The sequence below is a fragment of the Homo sapiens genome, chromosome 4, assembly GCF_000001405.40.
Source record: "Homo sapiens chromosome 4, GRCh38.p14 Primary Assembly".
In the NCBI taxonomy this organism is placed as follows: Eukaryota; Metazoa; Chordata; class Mammalia; order Primates; family Hominidae; genus Homo; species Homo sapiens.
In genome coordinates this window covers 117,808,831-117,830,080 of record NC_000004.12, presented here as the reverse complement: position 1 = coordinate 117,830,080, position 21,250 = coordinate 117,808,831, and the positions used below count along the sequence as shown (strand labels likewise).

The 21,250-nt window shown below is 35.5% G+C and overlaps 1 long non-coding RNA gene across 1 annotated transcript in view; it reads left to right on the top strand.

Moving 5' to 3' along the window:
- LOC102723914 (uncharacterized) overlaps nucleotides 1-20,347 on the top strand; it is a 52,393-nt gene extending 32,046 nt beyond the window's left edge. Inside the window, exons 2-5 of the long non-coding RNA XR_427579.4 lie at nucleotides 1,805-1,940; nucleotides 12,392-12,476; nucleotides 14,928-15,084; nucleotides 16,155-20,347. This is a non-coding gene — a long non-coding RNA (uncharacterized LOC102723914). The remainder of the gene's footprint in view (nucleotides 1-1,804; nucleotides 1,941-12,391; nucleotides 12,477-14,927; nucleotides 15,085-16,154) is intronic.
- Nucleotides 20,348-21,250: the final 903 nt, after the last annotated feature.

The window sequence follows — 21,250 nt, the reverse complement described above, 5'->3', positions numbered from 1 at the left end:
AAACCCATGTATTTATTTGTTCTTTTGGAAACCTATTTATTTTTGCTTCTGAGGCCCCTAAAAAGAATAGGTAAACTTTTTTTATGTTTAATTCATATTTCGTATCCAAAGTATTAACATATTAAAATGCAAACCATCTCAACAAAATTTTTATCTTTTCCTTGTAGTTAATACTTATTCTGGAAGTTACAGGTCTGAGAGAGAGAGAATTATGGAAAAAATGTATTTAAATAGAACGTGTTATGCTGCCAAAGTCTTAAATCAATCATGACAACACTGTTCACAGTGACTTGTTTCTTTATTACCCCAAGGCTTATTGGTTGATTTTTGACCATTCTAGCACCTTTCCATATGAACACATTTCCATTTGATTTCTACTGTTAAATGTCTATTTAGACTGCAGTTATTGTGATTTTATAAGATGATTTCCTGGATGATTTCTTCATTTTCTTGACATAATAGGTACCACATTCAGCTATTTTACTTTTCTCTGTAGCTTCCTTGTGGGTCCTTGGAGACAGGGGTGGTAAAGAGAATTTCCCACTTTTGAGGTCTTACTTTTCATGGTTAGTGTAATTCTATTTTCTCAAGCAACAGTTTCACTGAAAGTGACATGTTTCTTCTTGGTTCTTTGTTATTTGTGTCTTTTCAAATTCCCAGGAAGTGTGATTTCTAAAGCATGGTCACCAAGTAGGTTACTATTGTTCCTAAAGTGGAAATTACATTAGTGTAGGAGAAAGTCAGACTTTTCTTGTAGTTCCTACCTCTTAATTCACTTTGATTCAAAAAAAGCATTTAGCAGATATGTAGTCCCAGGTCTTCAAAATCCAGAGATGAGCAAGATCACCTCAGTGTCAAAGCCATAGCCCTTGGTCAGCAGAAGACAAATTAGAGGCTGATGACTGGCTTTCTAATTCACAATCACTGAAGCATCTCCACACTGACCGTAACCCTCTAGAAAAATTAGTTGGTATATATTTTGCTTAATTATCAAAAACGTATATGTGTAATTAATTTTTTTTAGGTTTTTGATTGGATGAATGAAAAGAGATAAAGCCAAAATGTTATTCTATCCTTTAGGATAATCTGCTAGTAATATCCTTAACTTTTATATATGATTTGGTTTTGAGGACTTGAACATAGTAGGTTTGCAAAGTTATTTCTTTCTTTTGTTCATAAATGGAATAAAAATCTAAGAAATCTGTGAATGAGTATGACCAAAAGATTTTTCTATTTTAAAAGATAAAATCATGACAATGTAGAGAAAGAATAACACAGTTTAAAAAAAAGACCAGTGAAAATGGAATGTAATTACGTGTTATGTTGTGAATTGTTATTCCTGATACATGAATTGTGCACACGAATTCAAACTGAAGGTCCAGCTTGTGAAGGTCTTGACCTAATAACATCAAAAGCTATATGTCAGTTACATTCTTCCTTTCTGCTCCATTCGTTCTTGTTTACTATTCTCTGTAGATTTGTTTTTAAATGTATTTCACATGTTTCTGAATAAGAGAATGTAATCTAGTGATGGTTAATTTTGTATGTCAGCTTAACTGGGCCATGGGATTCCCAGATATTGGGTTAAACATCATGCTGAGTGTGCCTGTGAGAGTGTTTTAGGATGAGACCAACATCTGAATTAGCAGGACAAGGAAAGCAGACTGCCCTCCCCATGAAACTGGGGTGGGCTTCATCCAGTCAATGCCTGAATAGAGCAAAAAGGCTGACGCTGCCAGGTAAGAGAAATTTCCTCTCCTCTGACTGCCTTTGAGCTAAGGCTTTGATCTTTTACTGCTTTCAGACTTGGACTGGAACTTACTTCACCAGATCTCATGGTTCTTGGGCCTTCAGACTCAGGTTGGAACTATGCTATCAGCTTTCCTGGATCTCCAGCTTGCTGACTACACAATCTAGGACTTCTCAGCCTTTGTAATTGTGTAAGCCAATTTTGTATAACAAATCTCTATCCATTTATCTAGAAACAATAAATATATATCTAATAGATATGAAGTCTTGTGCTTCATAATGACATCTCAATGAGGGACTGCATATACAATGGTGGTCTTGTAAGATTATAAAGGAGCTGAAAAATTCCTATCACCTAGTGACATCATACCTGTCATCATAGTGCAATTACTTTATTTAAAAAATAAGTTTAGTATAGCCTGAGTGTAAAGTGTTCATAAAGTCTACAGTAGTATAAAGTAATGTCCTAGGCCTTTACATTCACTCACCACTCACTCACTGACTTTCAGTCCTGCAAGCTACATTCATGGTAGGTGCCCTATACAGGTGTACTTAAAAAAAATCTTTTGTACCATATTTTATTGCACTTTTCCTTTGTTTAGATATACAAATATTTACCATTATGTTAGAATTGACTACAGTATCCAGTACAGTAACATGCTGCTCAGGTTTGTGGCCTAGGGACAATAGGCTATACCATATGGTCAAAGGGTGTAGTAGGCTGCACTGTCTAGGTTTGTGTGTGTGCACTCTATGATGTTTGCACAATGACAAAATTGCCTAATGATGCATTTCTCAGAATGTATCTTCATTAAGTGATACATTACTCTATATCTATCTAGATAAAGATATTTATGAAATATATATTCTATTATAAATATACAGATATATTGTTTAAAGAACTATTGGTTCTTTCTCTGGAGAACCCAGACTAATATATAATTATTTTCTTTAGAATCTGTTCAGAATCAGTTTAGTCAATGTTCAGCTTGGGTAAATCCAAATTCAAACTCTTCCCTCTCCCTACATCTATTATTATTCCCTTCATCTCCAGGTTTCCCTCAGCATAAAACAGTCAAATGTCAAGAGAAGGGTTAAACATGTACAACATCTTCATGGGCAGTCACACCCTTCATCTATATTCCAACGTATTTTCAATTATCACTGTAACATTGCTGTTAACATTAAGAGTATAGACAGGTAAATGTATTTTTCCCTTTTCTTTCTCTAAATTTGTCATTTAAGATGAATATATAAACATCTTCATAAGATAGATATGTTATTTATCTTCCACAGATAATGAGGATCAACTGTATATTGTGAATTTACCTACTCACTGAAATTTATCTGGAACCCTAAAATCAATGCTTGGTTATTTGCAGACATGCACATATATGTAAAGAGTGGCCAAAAATTTGAGTCACCCAAAGCACTTGTTTCCAGCTGAAGGTGAACAAAGAGACACTTCGCCTTCCTGTTTCTGTTCCCCTATGGTAAACAAGTGGGTGTTTTGGTAGTTTATTTAATGTGTGTGTGTGTGTGTGGTTTTTTTCTTTTTTTTGTATTTTTTCATCATTTTGTTGTTTAATAGTCCCCAAGCATAGTTCTGAAGTGCTCTCTAGTGTTTCTAAGTGCAAAAGACTGGGACATGCCTTATGGAGAATGTAGGTATGCTAGGTAAATTTCATTCAGGCATTAATTATAGTGCTGTTGGCCATAAGTTCAATGTTACTGAATCAACAATATATACTGAATGTGATTTTAAACAGAAATATACATAAAGCAAAATTCTATATTGGTCAGTTGATAAAAATGTGAGCACAGGCTCACAGGAACCTAACTCTGCATTTCCCATAGAAACAATGGTTCAGTATTCATTAATTCAGTGTTTGTGGTGATTTTATATAACCATAACATACACAGTTACCATGATTAACAAGAATCAACTGTATGTGGTATGAATAAGAAGAGAGAGTGTTAATTTTTCTCCAGGCTCTTGTTGCATGTTCTTAGGTTTGTTTTCTTGATTTAACTTCTAGGTTACAGTTTTCCATCTGTTTAATAAGAATGATAATTCCAGAGCCACAGTCTGGAAGTGTTGTTTTCAAGATTGAATAAAGTAATATGTATAACATTGCTTTGTAAACTGAAATGATGCAACAGGAGCAGAAAACGTTATTTATTTAAAGGAAAGAAAATATGCTAGAGATTTTATAATTACTAATGTTTACCACCGTTTAGTAAGAGTATTCAGTTCTTTCTTGATTTAATAAGATGACAAATCACATGTTAAGCTGTTAAACAGTTTACATCTGAAATTCAAAGTTTATTTTAAGTAGGAGCATTGTCTCTTATTTTATCTATGTCTCCCAACTTGTTAAAATATATTACATTGCATAGGAGCAAAACTGAATATCAAAGAATACTGTGGGCTTGCATGTATTTGTGTCTTTTGTTTTCCCTGGGGTAGCTCTGCTTAATTTACTAACACATAAATCTCTCCTGCTCTTAGTGCTGGAAAGTCAATTTAGCTGAGGAAGAATGAAGCTGAATTCGGTTCTGCCTCATGCATCACCAACAAATTGCTAGGCCAGTTAAGTTTTGATTGCAGAATATTTATTTTTGGTGACAAATGTTGCTGATGTAAGAACCTACATGATCACAGCTTGAATTAGCCTGGGTTGAGGTTGAAAAAAATTGAAATGGAAAGTGTTAATGGAAGTAAATATGCAACATCAGGATGACATTTTTAGTATTATATTTCTGATGATATTTTTGTGGTAAATAGGGTGTGACTACATTTGCATGCAGGCAATGAATTTTGGCAGAAAGATGGACATAGCCTTTTATGAAATCACATTCTTAAGGTGACAGTTTGGTTATGGAACCTAAGAGAGTTAAATTTGCTACATTCTAAGTACCTGTTTGGATCAAAGCAGGTTCCAGAGTAGAGACTAGTGACTAGAAATCATGTAATTTCGGAGAAGGTTACCAACACCTGTGTTATGTCTATCAAATCTCATATCATATCATATTATAATAGTTTTCTTTACCTTTCTTTTCTAGTGGTCCAGAAATGACTATGAACGTCTTTGCATGTAATAGATTTTCAGTGACTGTTAGATGAAAATTAGCTGCGTAGGACATAATTCCCACATCTCCACACTGAATGCACACAGACTTTCACATGAGAGGAAAAGAATCATTGGGACTCTTGTCTCCTTGGCAAGATCATGCATAGTTTTATGCATAAAGTTTTTTGTGGCCCCCACATGAATCACTAATGGTGACATGTCTGGGAGGTGTCACAGGGAGGCCACTGAGAAGGCCATGGCAGTAATTCTTTCACTACAACCCACCTTTCCTCTTTGAAAACAGCCAAAATCTCCCTACCCAATGGGTCTTTCATTCTTGCTGTGAAGTTGTTGAACATATAAAAAAATCATTAGAAATCCTGATTTTTACTCATTGAGAGTAAAAGAAGATAAGAAAAGGAATGATTCCTATTGATGCAGGATGTTTTCTTGACCCCTTTGTGGAACTCACAGCAGTGATGCCCCATTTACTCAGCTGCCCTGCTCAACCCCTCGTGGGAGGCAGCGTGCAGGTGAACCAATATGGGAAGCAGAGCGAATGAGTGAAAGAACTGGCCCACTGCTTCAGTGCTGGCAGGATCAAACTCTATACAGGCCCCGCAGCATCATCCGGGTGGGGGTGCCTGGTGACCCCAAGGCCCCAGAGGGCATGTTACAATGTTCCCTTAGCTCCGCTGCCCATGGACAGCAGTGTGTTATCAGCTCAGTGGGCCCTTTTCTCATCACATGGGGAGGCTGCCCTCTGCCAGCAAGGGCAAAGGGCCACTGTGACAGCCTTATTGCGTACTTGCGCTTGGTGCATCTTGAATTCTTGTCTGGTGCCCAAGAGGAATGAGGTCATGCAGATAAATTGAAGGATGGTGAATGAGGATAATTTTATTGAGTGATGAAAGTGGCTCTCAGCGGAGAGGGGAGCTGGAAAGGAGATAGGAAGGGCAGGTCACGCTCTCCTGAAGTCAAGCCTCCTCTCTGCCTCTCTTCCAAAGTCAAGTTGCCTCTTTTCGACGTCTAGCTGCCATCTCTGAAGTCAAGTAACCTCTCCCTAGTGTCCAGTAGCTTCTCTCCTCTATTGGCTGAGTCTGAGGTCTTTATAGGCACAGGATGTTGGGGGTTGGGGGTGGCGAGGGGGGCAGAGTGGGCCATAGGTAGTTTTGGAAAAGACAACATTTTATTTGTAAAAAGACATTATTCAGAAAGAACCAACTGGGAAAGGGCAGGCACACAGGGATGGAAGTTCTCACTTTGGGCCATGGGTTTCAGGTGTTTTGGCTTGAAGGCGGCGTTTTGCTGGGGACCCACCCCTGTCTGCCTTGAATTTCTCTGCCTCCTACCTCTATCACTATTAGTAGAGGAAAAAAAGTATTGGTTAAGTTAGCCTGATTGTTTTGTCTTTCCCAATAGTATATTAGTTTTTTATGTACTAAAAGGAAGATTTAGTTTTGACATGCTTATGTTTGGCTATGAATTTTAAAATACAGTTTTTGAAGATATACTGGAAGACAGCACAATTGGAAATGTGCAGATCATATCTTAATTTTACAAAGTATATTTTTAATATTCAGTCTTTGTCCACATTATAACTATATGACAGGTAGCTTTGCCAACGTCTTTTATTTATTCTTGGTAGAGGGCATCCACTCGTTTGCTCTTGGAAATACAAGTAAATGATTAATGAATCAAGAGCAAAAACAACAATGAGTTATTTCTTCACCAAAGACAGTTTTCTGCTTTGTATAGTGTTTTTAAAAACAAATACAATGGTTTATCTTTGCTGAGACGTGGGACAATTTTCTTGCAAATTTTGAAAGTGAACTTTTAAACATAGGGAATGAAAATACACACACACATACACACACACACACACACACACACGCACACACACGAGACAGGAAAGTCCTGAGTGCAGATAATAGTTATAATGATAATTATTAGACTTTCATGTTAAATAGATATAGAAAAGTGATAGCTGTTACATTACTGGGAGGTTGTTTAGACTCTAGGTCATTTCAGGCAGGCAAAATCACTGATTTAATACAACACTTCTTGTTTAATGAATGGCTAAGTCCCAAATATCTGACAACTCCACATCTCTCTCATTTCTTTCAGAGTGTGAAAGGAGAGGAATCATGTATTTTAACAATGTGAAAAGCTGACATAGAGCTGTCACATATTTTGGCTCATCCTCTTTTCCATAGGAAGTACAATGTTGAGTTGGTTCTAACTGACCCATGAGGTTACTGATTTTATGTTGCCAGAAAGACTGGTGACTGCAACTCAATAAGGCAGGCTCTTCCTGTGCAGGTAGAATGGCAACTCCTAATGTCCAGGTATAATTACTACTGGACCAAATATTTTATATGTATTTCTTATTTCCTATTGTTAGATGTTACTGATATGAATCCAAAGCCAAGAGTCATTTCTTGGGGCCTGAATAAAAGTTAGAATTTGGACTTATAGATAATGCCATCTTCATGTATCTGTGGTTCCAATAAGCTTTTTTTTCTTTTCTTTTCTTTTCTTTTTTTTTTTTTTTTTTTGAGATGGGGTCTTTCTCTGTCACCCAGGCTGGAGTGCAGTGGCACAATCTTGGCTCACCGCAACCTCTGCCTCCTGGTTCAAGTGATTCTCCTGCCTTAGCCTCGAGTAGCTGGGATTACAGGCACCCACCACCACGCCCGGCTAATTTTTGTATTTTTAGTAGAGACAGGGTTTCGCCATGTTGGCCAAGCTGGTTTTGAACTCCTGACCTCAGGTGATCTGCCTGCCTTGGCCTCCCAAAGTGCTGGAATTACAGGTGTAAGCCACTGCACCTGGCCCCTGATCTTTATAATGTCAATACATGTCACTATGCAATAAAGAAACCAAAAGTGTTTATTAAAGTTGCCGCTGATGGCCACTGCTTAATTGAATCAAGCCAATAGGGCAGAGTTTTTTAGAAACAGAGCATTGAGAAAGTGTAGGTTTTGCATATTTAAATGGATAACAATCCAGTAACAAATATTACATTACGTTAATATGTATAATTTAGTTCGTTAGCTTGAATTGTAAAGAAATCTCTTCACTGCACAAAATACATTGACTTTTCTAACTGTGTGTGTGTCTATTAGCCAATTTAGCTTCTCTTTTCTGCCCATTCACTTGTAAAAGCTGCTAATTCATCAACAGAAAGTGGATACAATCTACATACAAAATGAGTTAGAGGCAAGGAAGCAGTTGATTGCAGACATCAAGTAACTTATTAGCAATGTTTTACATAGCTTTGTTCTTTAATGGATTGTGCAGGTTCATTCTTCATTGTGTTGACATTTAAGAGAGAAATTAAGGAAAAGTGAATGGTGGTTAAACATTTGGTACAAATACAATAGCACGATGAGTGTGGGTATTGAAGAAGGTATGTCAGATGAATGCCAGATAGTGAGTTGCAGGCTTATGTATCACCTGGTTTCTATAAAATGAGCAGAAATGTCAAACATTTCACTTAAAAAAAGATCATTCCATCTGTTCTCCATTGCTCTGGGAAAGTAAGTTTAACTTGTAGTGCTTGCTTTAGCTAACTAGAAATTCAGGAAAACCATAAATAAATTTTTGAAAACTAGCCTTCAGATATGAAAAACATGGAATTAGCTATGAATCTTTGTTAGGGGGATATAATTAAAACCAAAATCTCTTCCTAATCCAGAAAAGCTCTTTAGAATGGTAGAAGAGAAACAATTTTATTATTGAATAAACATTAAACCAGAGTGTGATGAACATCATGAGCAATTGGCAAAGAGGTTGAAGACAGAAAAAATAGCTGTCTTTTATATAACTAAGCAGATGCAGACCATTATATATACATTTTCTCAAGACAAACAATATTATTAGTCCACAAGAGGCCTGGACAGCACCATTTATCACACATTGTTTATCTTAAGTTCACCTCACAACTGGGGGGACCATATGCGTTCACAAATTGGTTGTATCCAAAGGAAAAATAAACTTCTCCTATCTTTATGACAATAGGTACCTTTGGTGCTTGGAGCAAGGTACTCAATAAACTTAGGCAGAAGGTGAGAGGTAGGGTTCCTATCTTCTTTGGTGATTACATTTCAAAAACATGCTTCCTAGGTCCTTGAGAAAGACATTCCTTGGTCCTAAAGCTGACAAGTTTATTTAGCTTTAGAAAAGATTTATGTATATTTCAAAGAGACAGAGAGTTTACAATTATAACTTTTCTAAAATAAATGCTCTAAGACATTAACTGAAATCCCAGTTTTACCACTGAGTAGTTGTGCTACCTTGAGGATTCTATTAATCTTTATGAATCCTAAGTTTGTCATCTGTAAAGTGGGAATCATACTGCCTGCATCATAAGATTATTGTGATGATAAATTGAGACAATTTATATAAATCTTTAACAGAGTCTTTAACAAAGTGAATGGTTACTATGGTGGTTACCATTATAGGGCTAGCCCCTCTACTTATAATTTTGAACCTTCCCATCAACTCCAGAATGATGCTTCATCAATTTTTCCTTCTTTTGCTCATATCAACATGTTTTTATTAATACAGTAGAATCTTTCCTTCAATCTTCAAATGCATTTACGTCTTCTCTGTTACAAAGCAAATATTTAAATGTTAAATAAAACAATACACACTGCAACTTACTTTGATCTATTTTTTAAAATCAACATTCTAAAAGTATTATTTATGGATAATATAATGCACTTATTTTAAGCACAGCTTAGTTTTTGTGACAAACATATATGTTTATATAACCACTAACACAATCAGTATTTAATTACCACAGAAAGTTCTTTAATGCCAGTCTGTAGTCAATCCCCATCTGAAACCCTGCCAGAGGCAACCCCAAATATCTGCTTTCTGTCTCTATAGATGTCTTGCCTTTTCTGGGTTTTCATATACATGAAATCATGTAATATATACCGTTTTGTGTTTGCCATATATTTTCAGCAAAGTAATTTTAAGATCCATCCATGCTGTTGTATAAGTAATCTACTCCCTTCTATTACTAAGTAATATTGCATTATGTTATTAAATCATAATTTGTTTATCAATTCAATTGCTGTTGGACATCTGAGTTGTTTCCAGTTTGGGCTATTATGAGTAAAGCTGTTATAAATATTCTTGTGCAAATATTTGAGTGAATGTATGTTTTCACTTCTCTTGGGTAAATATTTAGGAGTAGAATTGCTGGATCAAAAGACAGATGTATGTTTAAACATATAGGAAACTGTTAAAGTGTTTCCCAAGGTGCCTGTACATTTACATTTTCAGCAATGCATGAGAGTTTCAGTTTCCTTACCAATACTTGGTATTGCCAATCCTTTTAATTTTAGGTGTTCTAACTGATATGCACGTAAATCAGTTTGTAGCTTTGGTTTGCATTTCTCTTCCAGTGTCTCTGAGACTTGGAACTTGCTGCTCTATTCTGCTGGGGGAATAAATTACTCATCTCTTGCCTGGTTGGAAAGGATTATTTAGTTGTCTGTGTTGGGTGAGAGATGGAATTTAGGCAACCTAACCTCTATGTAGACTTTAAACTGAGGCTGGCCCCCACTCTTCCTGCTCCCAAGACTTCTGTGCCTCAAATTCTAAGCCTTTCAGAAAGATTTCTGTAGCCTGGAAAGCCTGGGCATCCTCCTCCTCAATAGGCACTTAAGTCTCAACTTTCTCTGTACTGTAAGTCATTTACTTCTATCTGTCTGCCCTTTGACAAGTCCAAACCTTTGATGACAACTCTTACCGGAGAATATTTATCTCTAGTTCTATTTGCCCTTGTGAGTTTCTCCATTTTAAAAATTATTTAGAGAAAGAAAAAAAGCACAAATGATCAGTTTTTCCCATTTTCAGTCATCTCTTTCCTATTTACCTTGCTTTCTCACTTTTTCTTCACTATTTCACACAGAAGTTAATGATGACAGAGCTCTAGATCTCTTTAACCTTAATTCTAGTTTATTAAAATTATTTCAACCAAAACTTTCTTCTTTCACCCAAACTCCTTTTGTCCTTGATTTCTGCATTAGTCAGGGTTCTCTAGAGAGACAGAACTAATAGGATAGATGTATATATGAAAGGGAGTTTATTAAGGACAGTTGACTCACATGATCACAAAGGTAAAGTCCCACAATAGGCTGTCTGCAGGTTAAGGAGCAAGGAAGCCAGCGGTGGACCAGTCCAAGTCCCCAAACCACAAAAGTCAGGAAATCTACAGTGCAGCCTTCAGTCTGTGGCTGAAGGCCCAAGAGCCCCTTGCAAACCACTGGTGTAAGTCCAAGAGTCCAAAAGGTGAAGAACTGAGAGTCTGATGTTTGAGGACAGTAAAAATCCAGCATGGGAGAAAGCTGAAGGCCAGAAGCCTCAGAAAGTCTGCTCTTCCATCTTCTCCTGCCTGCTTTTTTCTAGCCATGCTGTCAGAGGATTAGATGGTGCCCACCCAGATTGAGGGTGGGTTGGCCTCAGCCAGTCAACTGATTCAAATGTTAATCTCCTTTGGCAACACCCTCACAGACACACCCAGAAACAATACTTTGCATCCTTCAATACAATCAAGTTTACACTCAGTATTAACCATCACAATTTCTATGTCTCAATCACAGCGAGGAAAGTATAACTTCCTTAAACTTCGATTTCATTTAATCGTTACCTCACTGAATGGTTCTCCTTTCTCTAAATTAAATTATGTGAACAGACCAGGAATGGGGAGAGGTCAGCACATTTTTATTTCCAGTAGTTCCAGTAGTTCTACAATACAAATTATTTTAGTAAAACTCCATGAGAATTTGGCATTGCTACTCTTCAGTAGCAGCTTATTTCTCAAAGGGAAGAGAGTTATTGCTCTATATACATTGTGGCCTGTTCTCTGCCAGACAAAATGTATAGGGAAACTTTATGATAATTCTCTCTGAGATTCTCTGTTTTCTTTGATTCCAAGAAACTATCTCTAATATATAATGTGTTGACAGTGAGAAAATTGACCATTTCAAGCAACATTTAAACCTGGAGATTAAAAAGAGAGCAAAATGATCTTTTTCTCATTCTCTTTTAAGGGAGCACAATTCTAAAACTCTCCCAAGCTAAAAAGAGAAGATATTGGTTATGAAAATCTTATAAGAATGGTGATAAAACTGGCAAATATGCTTTAGAGAATAATAAAACTATTACATAGCTAGTCAACTTAAAAAATGCCTAATGTATCATAGAATGTTTGTCTCAAAATTTATTTTCTGAATTCTCTCCTAGTTAGCAAATTGAGAGGGCATGAAACAAACATAAAATAATTTCCAAACATAAATATTTGAATCTGGATTGCTTTGCAATGTGTTTTCATGGCTTGATAATTCCAGAGAAATTATTATTATTATTTGGTCTTTAATCACAAGATCTTTTTCACAAGTATACTATTAAGACATTGAATCCAAAGATGCCAGTTAATTTGTATTAATAGTATAGTATTTATAGTACTAAATATAAAATACATTTCATGTTTAACATTTTCTACCATATATGTTAAGTGATCAAGTCACACCAAGCTATTCTGTACTTAGGAGGAACAAATTGTTCTACAGAAAATGAAGGAAACTCCAAATGTTCAAGAGACTGGGGATGATATATGAAAGCTTTCACCATTAGGTAAGTAATTTAAATCCTAGGTGGTGGTGTGTAGGGTTTATTAGAAGTTTAATGATGCTCTCTGACTTATGCTCATTCTAAGAAGCACATCATTTTCTAAAGTAGAAAAAGCATGAGTCAGAGGAAGTTAAAAACCACAGTAGAAAACATCTATTTTAGTTTATCATTTGATTTCATTCTTCTTCCTAATTGTAAGTCTTAAGAATTAGACAAAAATTTGAGCTGTGGTACATAAGAAAATATGGGAAGCATGCCAAGAACTGCATTAGGCTATAGCTTTTGGAGAGCAATAGAATGGTTTTTGCCGATATTTTTATTCAGCAACCAAATTTATAATTTACTAAAAAAAAGTGAGCATATTACATAATTATTAATTTGTAAATTAAACAAAACAATATAAATTATAACAAAGCTATGATTATTTTAATGATAATGTACTGGTCTTTAGCAGGAAAGCTCTGGTAATTACCATTTGCAGTAAAGGAAAATATATCAATACAGTTTTCTATATCATAGATAGAAGTACTCCAATTTTTAAGTAGCTGCATTTCTATATAAGACATTCCTTCTCTATAAAACATGAAATTTAAAAATTAAAAAGAGCAATTTTATACTTTACAGAACTGATTTTCTTATCAGGGATCACTTCCTGTGATGATTTTCTCTTTATGTTGTGATTTTTCCACTTCTTATCACCTTCAGGGAGGTTATAATTCTGTCACATTTTTAAAAAAGCCTACTAGTTGGTCTCATTTCCTGTATAAGCTATTTTTTTTTGCAGCTATGTGTATAATTTTTGACATATGAATAAATAAATGAAGTGTTTAACATAAATTTATCTTACAAGTAGCTCTTCATAAACATCTCTGTTTTTCTAAGCATAGCATAACAAATGAAGCTACAGTGGCAGATTGTACTTTATTGTTATTATTAATTTTTCTTTTTTATAAGAAGTGAATCTGGGCTTTCTAAATAGTAATGATGATGAATAAAATTTTTGTTGGGATAGAAATCTGGGCTTTCTAAATAGTAATAATGATGAAAAAACTTTTGTTGGGATAGAAATCTCCATTTACATGGAATGTGACTAGACATACTGCCAGGCAGATTGAAGCTTGAATTTGTTGGAATACCCATTACCTAAGGGTAAAGCAGGGTGGGGAGGTGGCGGGCTGCGGTGATGTGGAGTATATGGGCAAGGTGGGAACACAGACTTTGCTTGTCATTATTGTAGTGTCTCTATTTTGCACCTCTTCTTATTGTTTCTCAGCCTCTATTTCAGTTTATCTCCATCTATTCAAGTTCAGATGCCCCATCCTTACCCCTTAAATGTCTTTCTAAAAACTCTTTTAGTTGATTCTCCAGTCCCAAGACACAGGAGTTGCTAACACCTATTCCTTTAGCCTTCATAGCCAACTAAAGCTATTAAATATATTGTGTCCTTACTTCAGGCTTTCTTTAGTATTTCTCCTTTTCCTCTCTCTTTCTTTCAACCTTTTTCTATAGCATTTGACAATGTTTTCTCCTCTCCTTTTCAAACTCTCATACCCACAGATCTATTGCCTCTTTCTCTATTTACTTCTTTAAATACTTCTTTTTCGGGCAACTCACTAGGCTTTTTTTTTTCTCTACATGTCAGTTAAATGTAGGTGCCTAAATAGTTAATGTTCATGGCCCTCTTTCTTTCTATATTACTCTTTCATCCAGTTAAGTAAAAAAAAAAAATAAATCTGAAAGTCTGCACTATAATAAGTACTAAGTTATCAGAGACAAAAGACAGCTCTGCCTTCAAAAAGTCACATTGCAATGAGGGAGACAGACAAGGCATTACAATAGAGTGTGATAATGTGTTATCTAAAAGATGGAGCTTTATTCAAGTACGCGTATCCAGGAGGGGGACTTTACCCTACCAGAGTGACATGAAACCTAGTTTTCAAGGCTGAAGGAAGAGTTTATCTGGTGGGAATGGAGCAGGGGTAGTATAAGGTGAATGTTCCAGCAGAGGAAATAGTTTGTTCACAGCCTAAGTGAGCTTGTGAAAAAGTGTGATATTTCATTAAACTGTAGTGGCTTTAAACAAACAAAATATGACTGGCACATGGGGTAAGTCTGGGGAAGAGAAGAAAAATGAGAATAGAATAAGAAAGAAGGCAGCTTATGAAAATTTCTCTATGACATTCTAAAATGTATGTGCCATATTTATAACTGTTACCCTTGCACCTTGACCTGGTCAATTTCTTTCTTTCTTTTTCTTTTCTTTTCTTTTTTATTTGTTTTGTGAAATTACACTCACCATTTTAATAAGGAGAGGTCCACTAAGTAAACCAAATTATTGAATTAAATGCTTTTCTGGAAATGTACTTCATGAAGATGCTGAACTCTCCTAATAACAACCAAGTCATTACTAATTTAATTATTTTGATTCCTCCTATCCCACACACATATGTTCAGGATAAAAAAGAGCAAGAATAGCTCACATACCATGTGAACCACTTTTGGGAATCAGATGTGTACATTCCAAAGTAAAATGACTTCAGTGTATATATACAAGGATGATAAATGTCCTGCTGAGAACAGCGGCAAAACAACAAGAAGAACCACCGTAAAGGTCTGTCAGTAGCAAAATGCTTAAACTGCTAAAAATAGCACATTAGGTCTATTGATTTTTAGGGGTTACCATGGTGGGTTTTTCTTGTTTTTTGTTTTGTTTTGTTTTGTTTTTTAAGTGAGAAGAGAATGAGCTGGTGCTGGTGCTGGCCTTGTTCTTTCCATTCTTTCTTTACGAAGGTTTTGATGACACCCTTAGCCAGGAATGACCTGATTTGTATTCATTCTTGTTTCAGTTGACATAACTTTCCTTTGTCACCATGTCGGATATCATTTATCTTACAAATGATGACCTTTTGCACATCCATGTTGTTGGTATTGTATTGTTTCTTACTGATATTAGGGTTGCTAAACTAATTTTATAAAAAGCATGGCTCTTTACCTGAAACTTTTCAACATTTAGTTTATAAAGTAAACACTTTTATCCTTTTGATCTCATCAAATTCCAACTACTGAATTCCTGTTTCTCTAGATGATACATTATTTGCATTTGCAAAATAATTCACACAGATCCACACAGTGCTAAAACCCTGGAGGTATGATTATCCAGAAGCACAAGTTTTTAACATTTGCACTAGATGTCTGCAAGGATGTGTAAGACAAAATCTCTTTCAGTGCCGCTGCCCTGGAAGGAGTTTAATAAATATCCCTAAATATAGATAGAAAAGAAAAATTTCTGACTTAAATACCACCTGTAAGATTTTCCTATTATTCAGATGTCTTTCCTTTTGACTGCTTCACTTTTTAACACCATATGTTACAAAATGAGAAGTTAAAATTATTTTACTCTCAGTTTTTGCTGTTCGCATCTTTAAATTAACATAATGAAATCTTTTATGGAAATTGCTCAATAAAGTAGCAATTTAAAAAGCCTGTTTTCTAAAAGCATGCATCATATTAATACTCTTTTAGAAGTGATTATTAAAATTCTAGTGCTTTTTCTTGCCTTGTACATGGGGCCTTGAATCTGTGAGCATTTTGACAAGAAAGTGCCTGTAAGCTTCAGTATTCAGTGGCTCAGTCAGCCTCCAGCTTTCTTCATCCTTTCTCCTCGCACTTTTGTTCTTACAGCTCCTGCACATACTTATATACTGAATAGGACCATGAAAAAGTGCTTAAGCTCAAACAGGTAGGTATTATTTTTTTCATGCCTTGTAAAAGTAGATTAGTCATATGAGAAAACTTGAAATAATTTGCTGTAATATTTTAGATTGTTTGCAATTTAAAATTTTTCAGGTATCCCTGCTTTTCTCCTTTATGCTGGATAACTAAAAGTACCTATCAATTCACCTGATTGTATTTTTCATTTTATTTTTTCCTCAGAGGCCTGATTTCCTTATAGTTTTTGACCTATTGAGGTAATTTGCATGCTCTTTAGCCATTGTCTGAGAAACTTGTGCCCAGACAAATCTTTGTTTTCCTTTTAGGCTCTATTTAATAAAGATTATGAAGAGGCTTACAGTAGCACTATTATTTGAGATTTCATTATGGCTGTTAATGGTATTTGAGTACCAGTTTTTTTTCACATGGTCATTGATAATTGGGGTTTTAGCTATTTTATATTGACAATCGGAGATTTTTGAAAATGGTGCCACCTTGAAGTCTAATTAATTAGAGAATGCTATAACCATTGTTAATGCACAACTCATTTTTAGTTTAATTTAAAATTTGGAGCATTTCTTTGCTTCCTCAAATAATTGTGCTTATAGTCAGAAGCATAATAAGTAGAAAATAGATTAACTATGAAGAAAACTGTAAATCTCTTCTCATCACTGTTTGTATTATGAACAGTATAAAAGAATCAGATGAGGAAGGGACATATTTTTATGGCATGGGTCTTGCTGTACATAGCCTTTACCTGAGCTAGTTTCTTTGGGATTGGTATATATAATGTTGCAAGTCTCAAGGCCAATGCTAAGTGCAGGGAGGGCAATCCAAGAGGCTGCAATCCCCATTTATCTTACTCTGGGCACTAAAGCTATTTCTTCCCATCCAGATTTTCTTCCAGGAAGCAATGCCCAGTTGAAATGGTAAGATGGTGTGAACATGGATCTTTCTAAGGATCAAAATGGGATCTGTTAAATATGTATGTTTATGGGGTCTGTTAATATGTATTAAGCATTTCATAGGTGTTAAGTCTTCATCAAGACTTAACAAACAAAGTAGAAGAAACAAACACATAAAGAGGTCCTTATATCATGTGATAGATGCCATGATAGAGGCATCGGTTCAGGGTGATGAGGTAGCACAGAGTGAAGACATAAATCAGCCTGGGAAAATCAAGGAACGCCTCCTGGAGAAGACAAACTGTAATTTGTCTTTAAAGCTGCTTACTAGCCAGATGCAAAGTTAGAGGAAGGCAAGTAAGGCAGAGAAAACACACTATCAAGGAATGGAAACTAAAATAATAAAAACTACAACGATCTTTACATTTATTTTAGGTACTATTTTAGGTGATGCATGAAACCATTTCATGTGTCCCACAAACATATGAGGCAGCTATTACTATCCCAGTTTTATGTATGAAGAAATTGAAGCACAGAATGTTTAAGTGAATTACCTAAGGTCACATAGACAGTAAATTATAGAGGACAGATTTGGAACCCTGCTGTCTGACTCCAGAGTCCATATCCTTAACCACCATACGATACAGCCCCGTGCTGTGGTTTACTGATGGGTGTAGTGAACAACAAGTGAGTTGAAATTACTGGATAAAATTCTAGCTTGGAGAAGGCAGAAGGCACAGTTGCAGAGACTGACAAGTGGCAGATACTGACTTTGTATGTCATGCTAAGACGGTTAGAATAAGACTTCTCAACTATGTATAGTGAGGGGACAATTTACTTTATTATTATCTTTTAATTTCAAATATGATGTGGATGGATATGTTTATAAAATATAAAATTACATACATGGATATCAAGGCAATTTCAAATTGCTAGAAAGGATTCTAAATGCTTACTTCATTTCTGTGCTTTGCTAATCATTGATTTATAACAAACAATTTTGGGCTAGCGCTTTGAGTAGTATTGATTTATATTTTTTACTTTGTACCTTGTGGTGTAATTAAGGTATAACCATTCAGATGGGCAGGTTAGCATTTTAAGTATTGATTTCTTTGTGGAAAATGAACTAGAGGCTAAGACTGATTACAGTGAGCCCAATTATGAATCAATGATTGTAGTGTCTGCCAAATATAACTGGAGCCTAAACTGAGGCTGTGGAGTAGCAATGAAAAGTGAGAGGTAAATGGTTTTGAGAAATCCTTGAGAGCTATATCTGGCCTGGGTCCATGGACAAGATTCCCTTATCTTCAACTTCCACTAAAACAGCTCTTTGTGATTCTTTACTCTGTTTTCCTCTTAAATTTAATATTTTAAAATGTCTATCTCAAAAGCTACCATCTATGTATTTCTTAAATCAAAACCGTATTTTTCCTTCAAAATGTATTAAACATTTTGTTTAAGCGAAGTTCCTTTTAGGCCCTGGGTTTAAGTGGGAAGAAGGCTGGTGAGGCTGAGGAGTGCAGGATGATCTGCAGGGCTAGAAGTGAAGTGTCGTTTCTTTCTTAAACAAGTATCTTGTGTGGAAACATGCAGCAAAGCCAAGAGTTAATGGTTTAAGGAATGAGCCTTGAGGGAACAGGGGCCAAGGGAAAATTTTCACTTTGTCCTTCTGAAGGTTTACTGAGAAATGAACTCATAAATGTCAGATTAACTGGAGAAAAAGCATTCAAAATTTATTAATGTGTAAACAGGATCCTTTGGAATGAAGACCCAAAGATATAGAAAAAATTGTCCATTTTTATGCTTAGGTTCAAGAAAGTATGGATAGCTGCATAGAAATATGTTTGGAAAAATAGGGTATTATCTAATGTTAATAGATGGAGTAGAGCAATATAGCAAGGCCTCTTGGTCTAGATTTGTCTTGGTTTTTCAGAGCATGTGTTTCTTCCTTCTGGATATGGGACAGGACCCTCTCTGGAAAGGGGGTCAGATAATTTTTTATTGCCAGTTTTTGTACAAAAAGGCAGAAGAAAAGCTGGAGTCAAATTTTTAGGTTTATGGCTGGCTTTGAGGAAAAGAGGTTCTGATTTTTATCGTGGCTTGTGGAAGAGGGATTCAAGTTTGTATGGCCAGCCTTGGAGGAGAATGGGGCTGAACGACAGGAGGCAGGAGGGTAGGAGAAGGTCAGAGAAAACATTTTTTTTTTTTTTTTCCTGAGGCTGTTTCTGAGGCCATTGTTGAATGTTGTTTTCTGTTTTCCAAACTTCTCTGGCCTAAAACTTCCCCAATAAATTTCACAGGCCAGTAATTGGGTTGGTGGATTGTTGTATAAGCCATTTAATTGAAGCAGTCTCTTAGTCTTGAGAACAGGGCAGTCAAGTTAAACAGTTAATAGTTGCATCTTATTTCAGGCAATGGTCTTGTAGATGGGGTTTTACCAAAGTTGGGTTTCTTTATGATTTTAGCAATCAGACAGATATTGAATAAGAGGCATTTTTATGGAAACAAAAGGAAAACAAAAGTTAATGGTTAGAAAAAAACTATAAACTTAGGTTTTGAGTGTAAGAGGCAGCCCATTGAGAAGATTTTTAGATGTTAGGCTTGAAGCATCTTTAGATGAAGTGAGAGCAGATAGTAACAATCTGACAGATTTTTTTTTTGTCTGTAGTTTATATCAGGCATTCAAGGGAACTTTTGAGTAGTCTACACATTGTCAGGCTCAAAGGCTGTTTGTATATTAAGTTGTTATTATGATTTTTAAAAGAAGTTTTTATCAAGTTGTCTACCTTTAGCTTATAGGGCTTTAGGCAAAAGCAGTATTAATTTTAGTAATTTTTAGTCAGAAAGTAGAAAAAATTTGGAAACATTAGTTGGGAGGCTTATAGCCAGGAAAGAATTTAGGATTTAGTCTGAATTGTAGGAAAATAATAAAAACTCAAAAACAATGATTAAGGCTGGAATCTAATAACAGGTATGTTTTAGTTTATTTTAAACAATTTTTTTCTAGTCCCCCATTTTTACTAAAGAAAAATCATAGCAGGACCAGTTTATTTGTAAAATAAGTTACAGTTTTACTACACTTGGCCTGATTATTTGTATAAAATGTAGTATGAATAGTGATTGGCCATATAGATTCTTTTTAAATTGGTTTTGTTGGAAAAATTTTACAAGGAATCTCGGATTAGACTTTTAAAAGTCTCTCAAGGCTTGGAAGCCAAGCCAGGGATTTATGATCAGGCTGTCTGTAATACCTGGATAAATTTCTTTTTTGGTGGGGGGTGGATCCCCAAATAACTCGGTTTCTGGGCCTATCAGAAAGTGACTTTTTTTTTTTTTTTTTTTTTTTTTTTACTTATCACAGGTCAGGAACCTTGTAAAAGAACTGTGTAGACAAGGTACCAACCCAGCCTTATAAAGAGGCTTTTTATTTACTCTATAAAGTCAACCTTGATTCCTCAAAGCAGTTCAGTCTTATTGGAATATATTCTGTTCCAGTCAAATCCTTCATTAAATAACTAGTGTCTTTCATTGTGTCCCGTTACATAAGAAAACAGATTTTTTATTGAACTTATGTAAATAATTATAATAAATTAAGAATACTCACAAATTATTTCTAAACTAGATAAATCGGATAGATAGACAAAGAAAATCAGGTTTTTTTTTTTTTTACAAAGGTATATTGTACCAAATTGTTGTCAGCTATAAATTGCTGAAAAGAAAAAATATTCTTGAGTATAAAAAAAAAAAAGGCTGGGCACGGTGCCTCATGCTTGTAATCCCAGCACTTTGGGAGGCCGAGGCAGGTGGATCATGAGGTCAAGAGATCGAGACTATCCTGGCCAACATGGTGAAACCCCATCTCTACTAAAAATACAAAAATTAGCCAGGTGTGGTGGCACATGCTTGTAGTCTCAGCTACTCGGGAGGCTGGCTGAAGCAGAAGAATCGCTTGAACCTGGGAGGTGGAAGTTGCAGTGAGCCGAGATCGTGCCACTGCACTCTAGCCTGGTGACAGAGCGAGACTCTGTCTCAAAAAAGAAAAAATAAAATAAAATAAAAATAAATAAAAAGAATCAGCAGTGTTTTAAGTGAAAAAAATATAAAAACTATTTTAGTCTTTTATCAGTTTAGTCCCATGTAATTAACTTTTGTTCTGTTTGA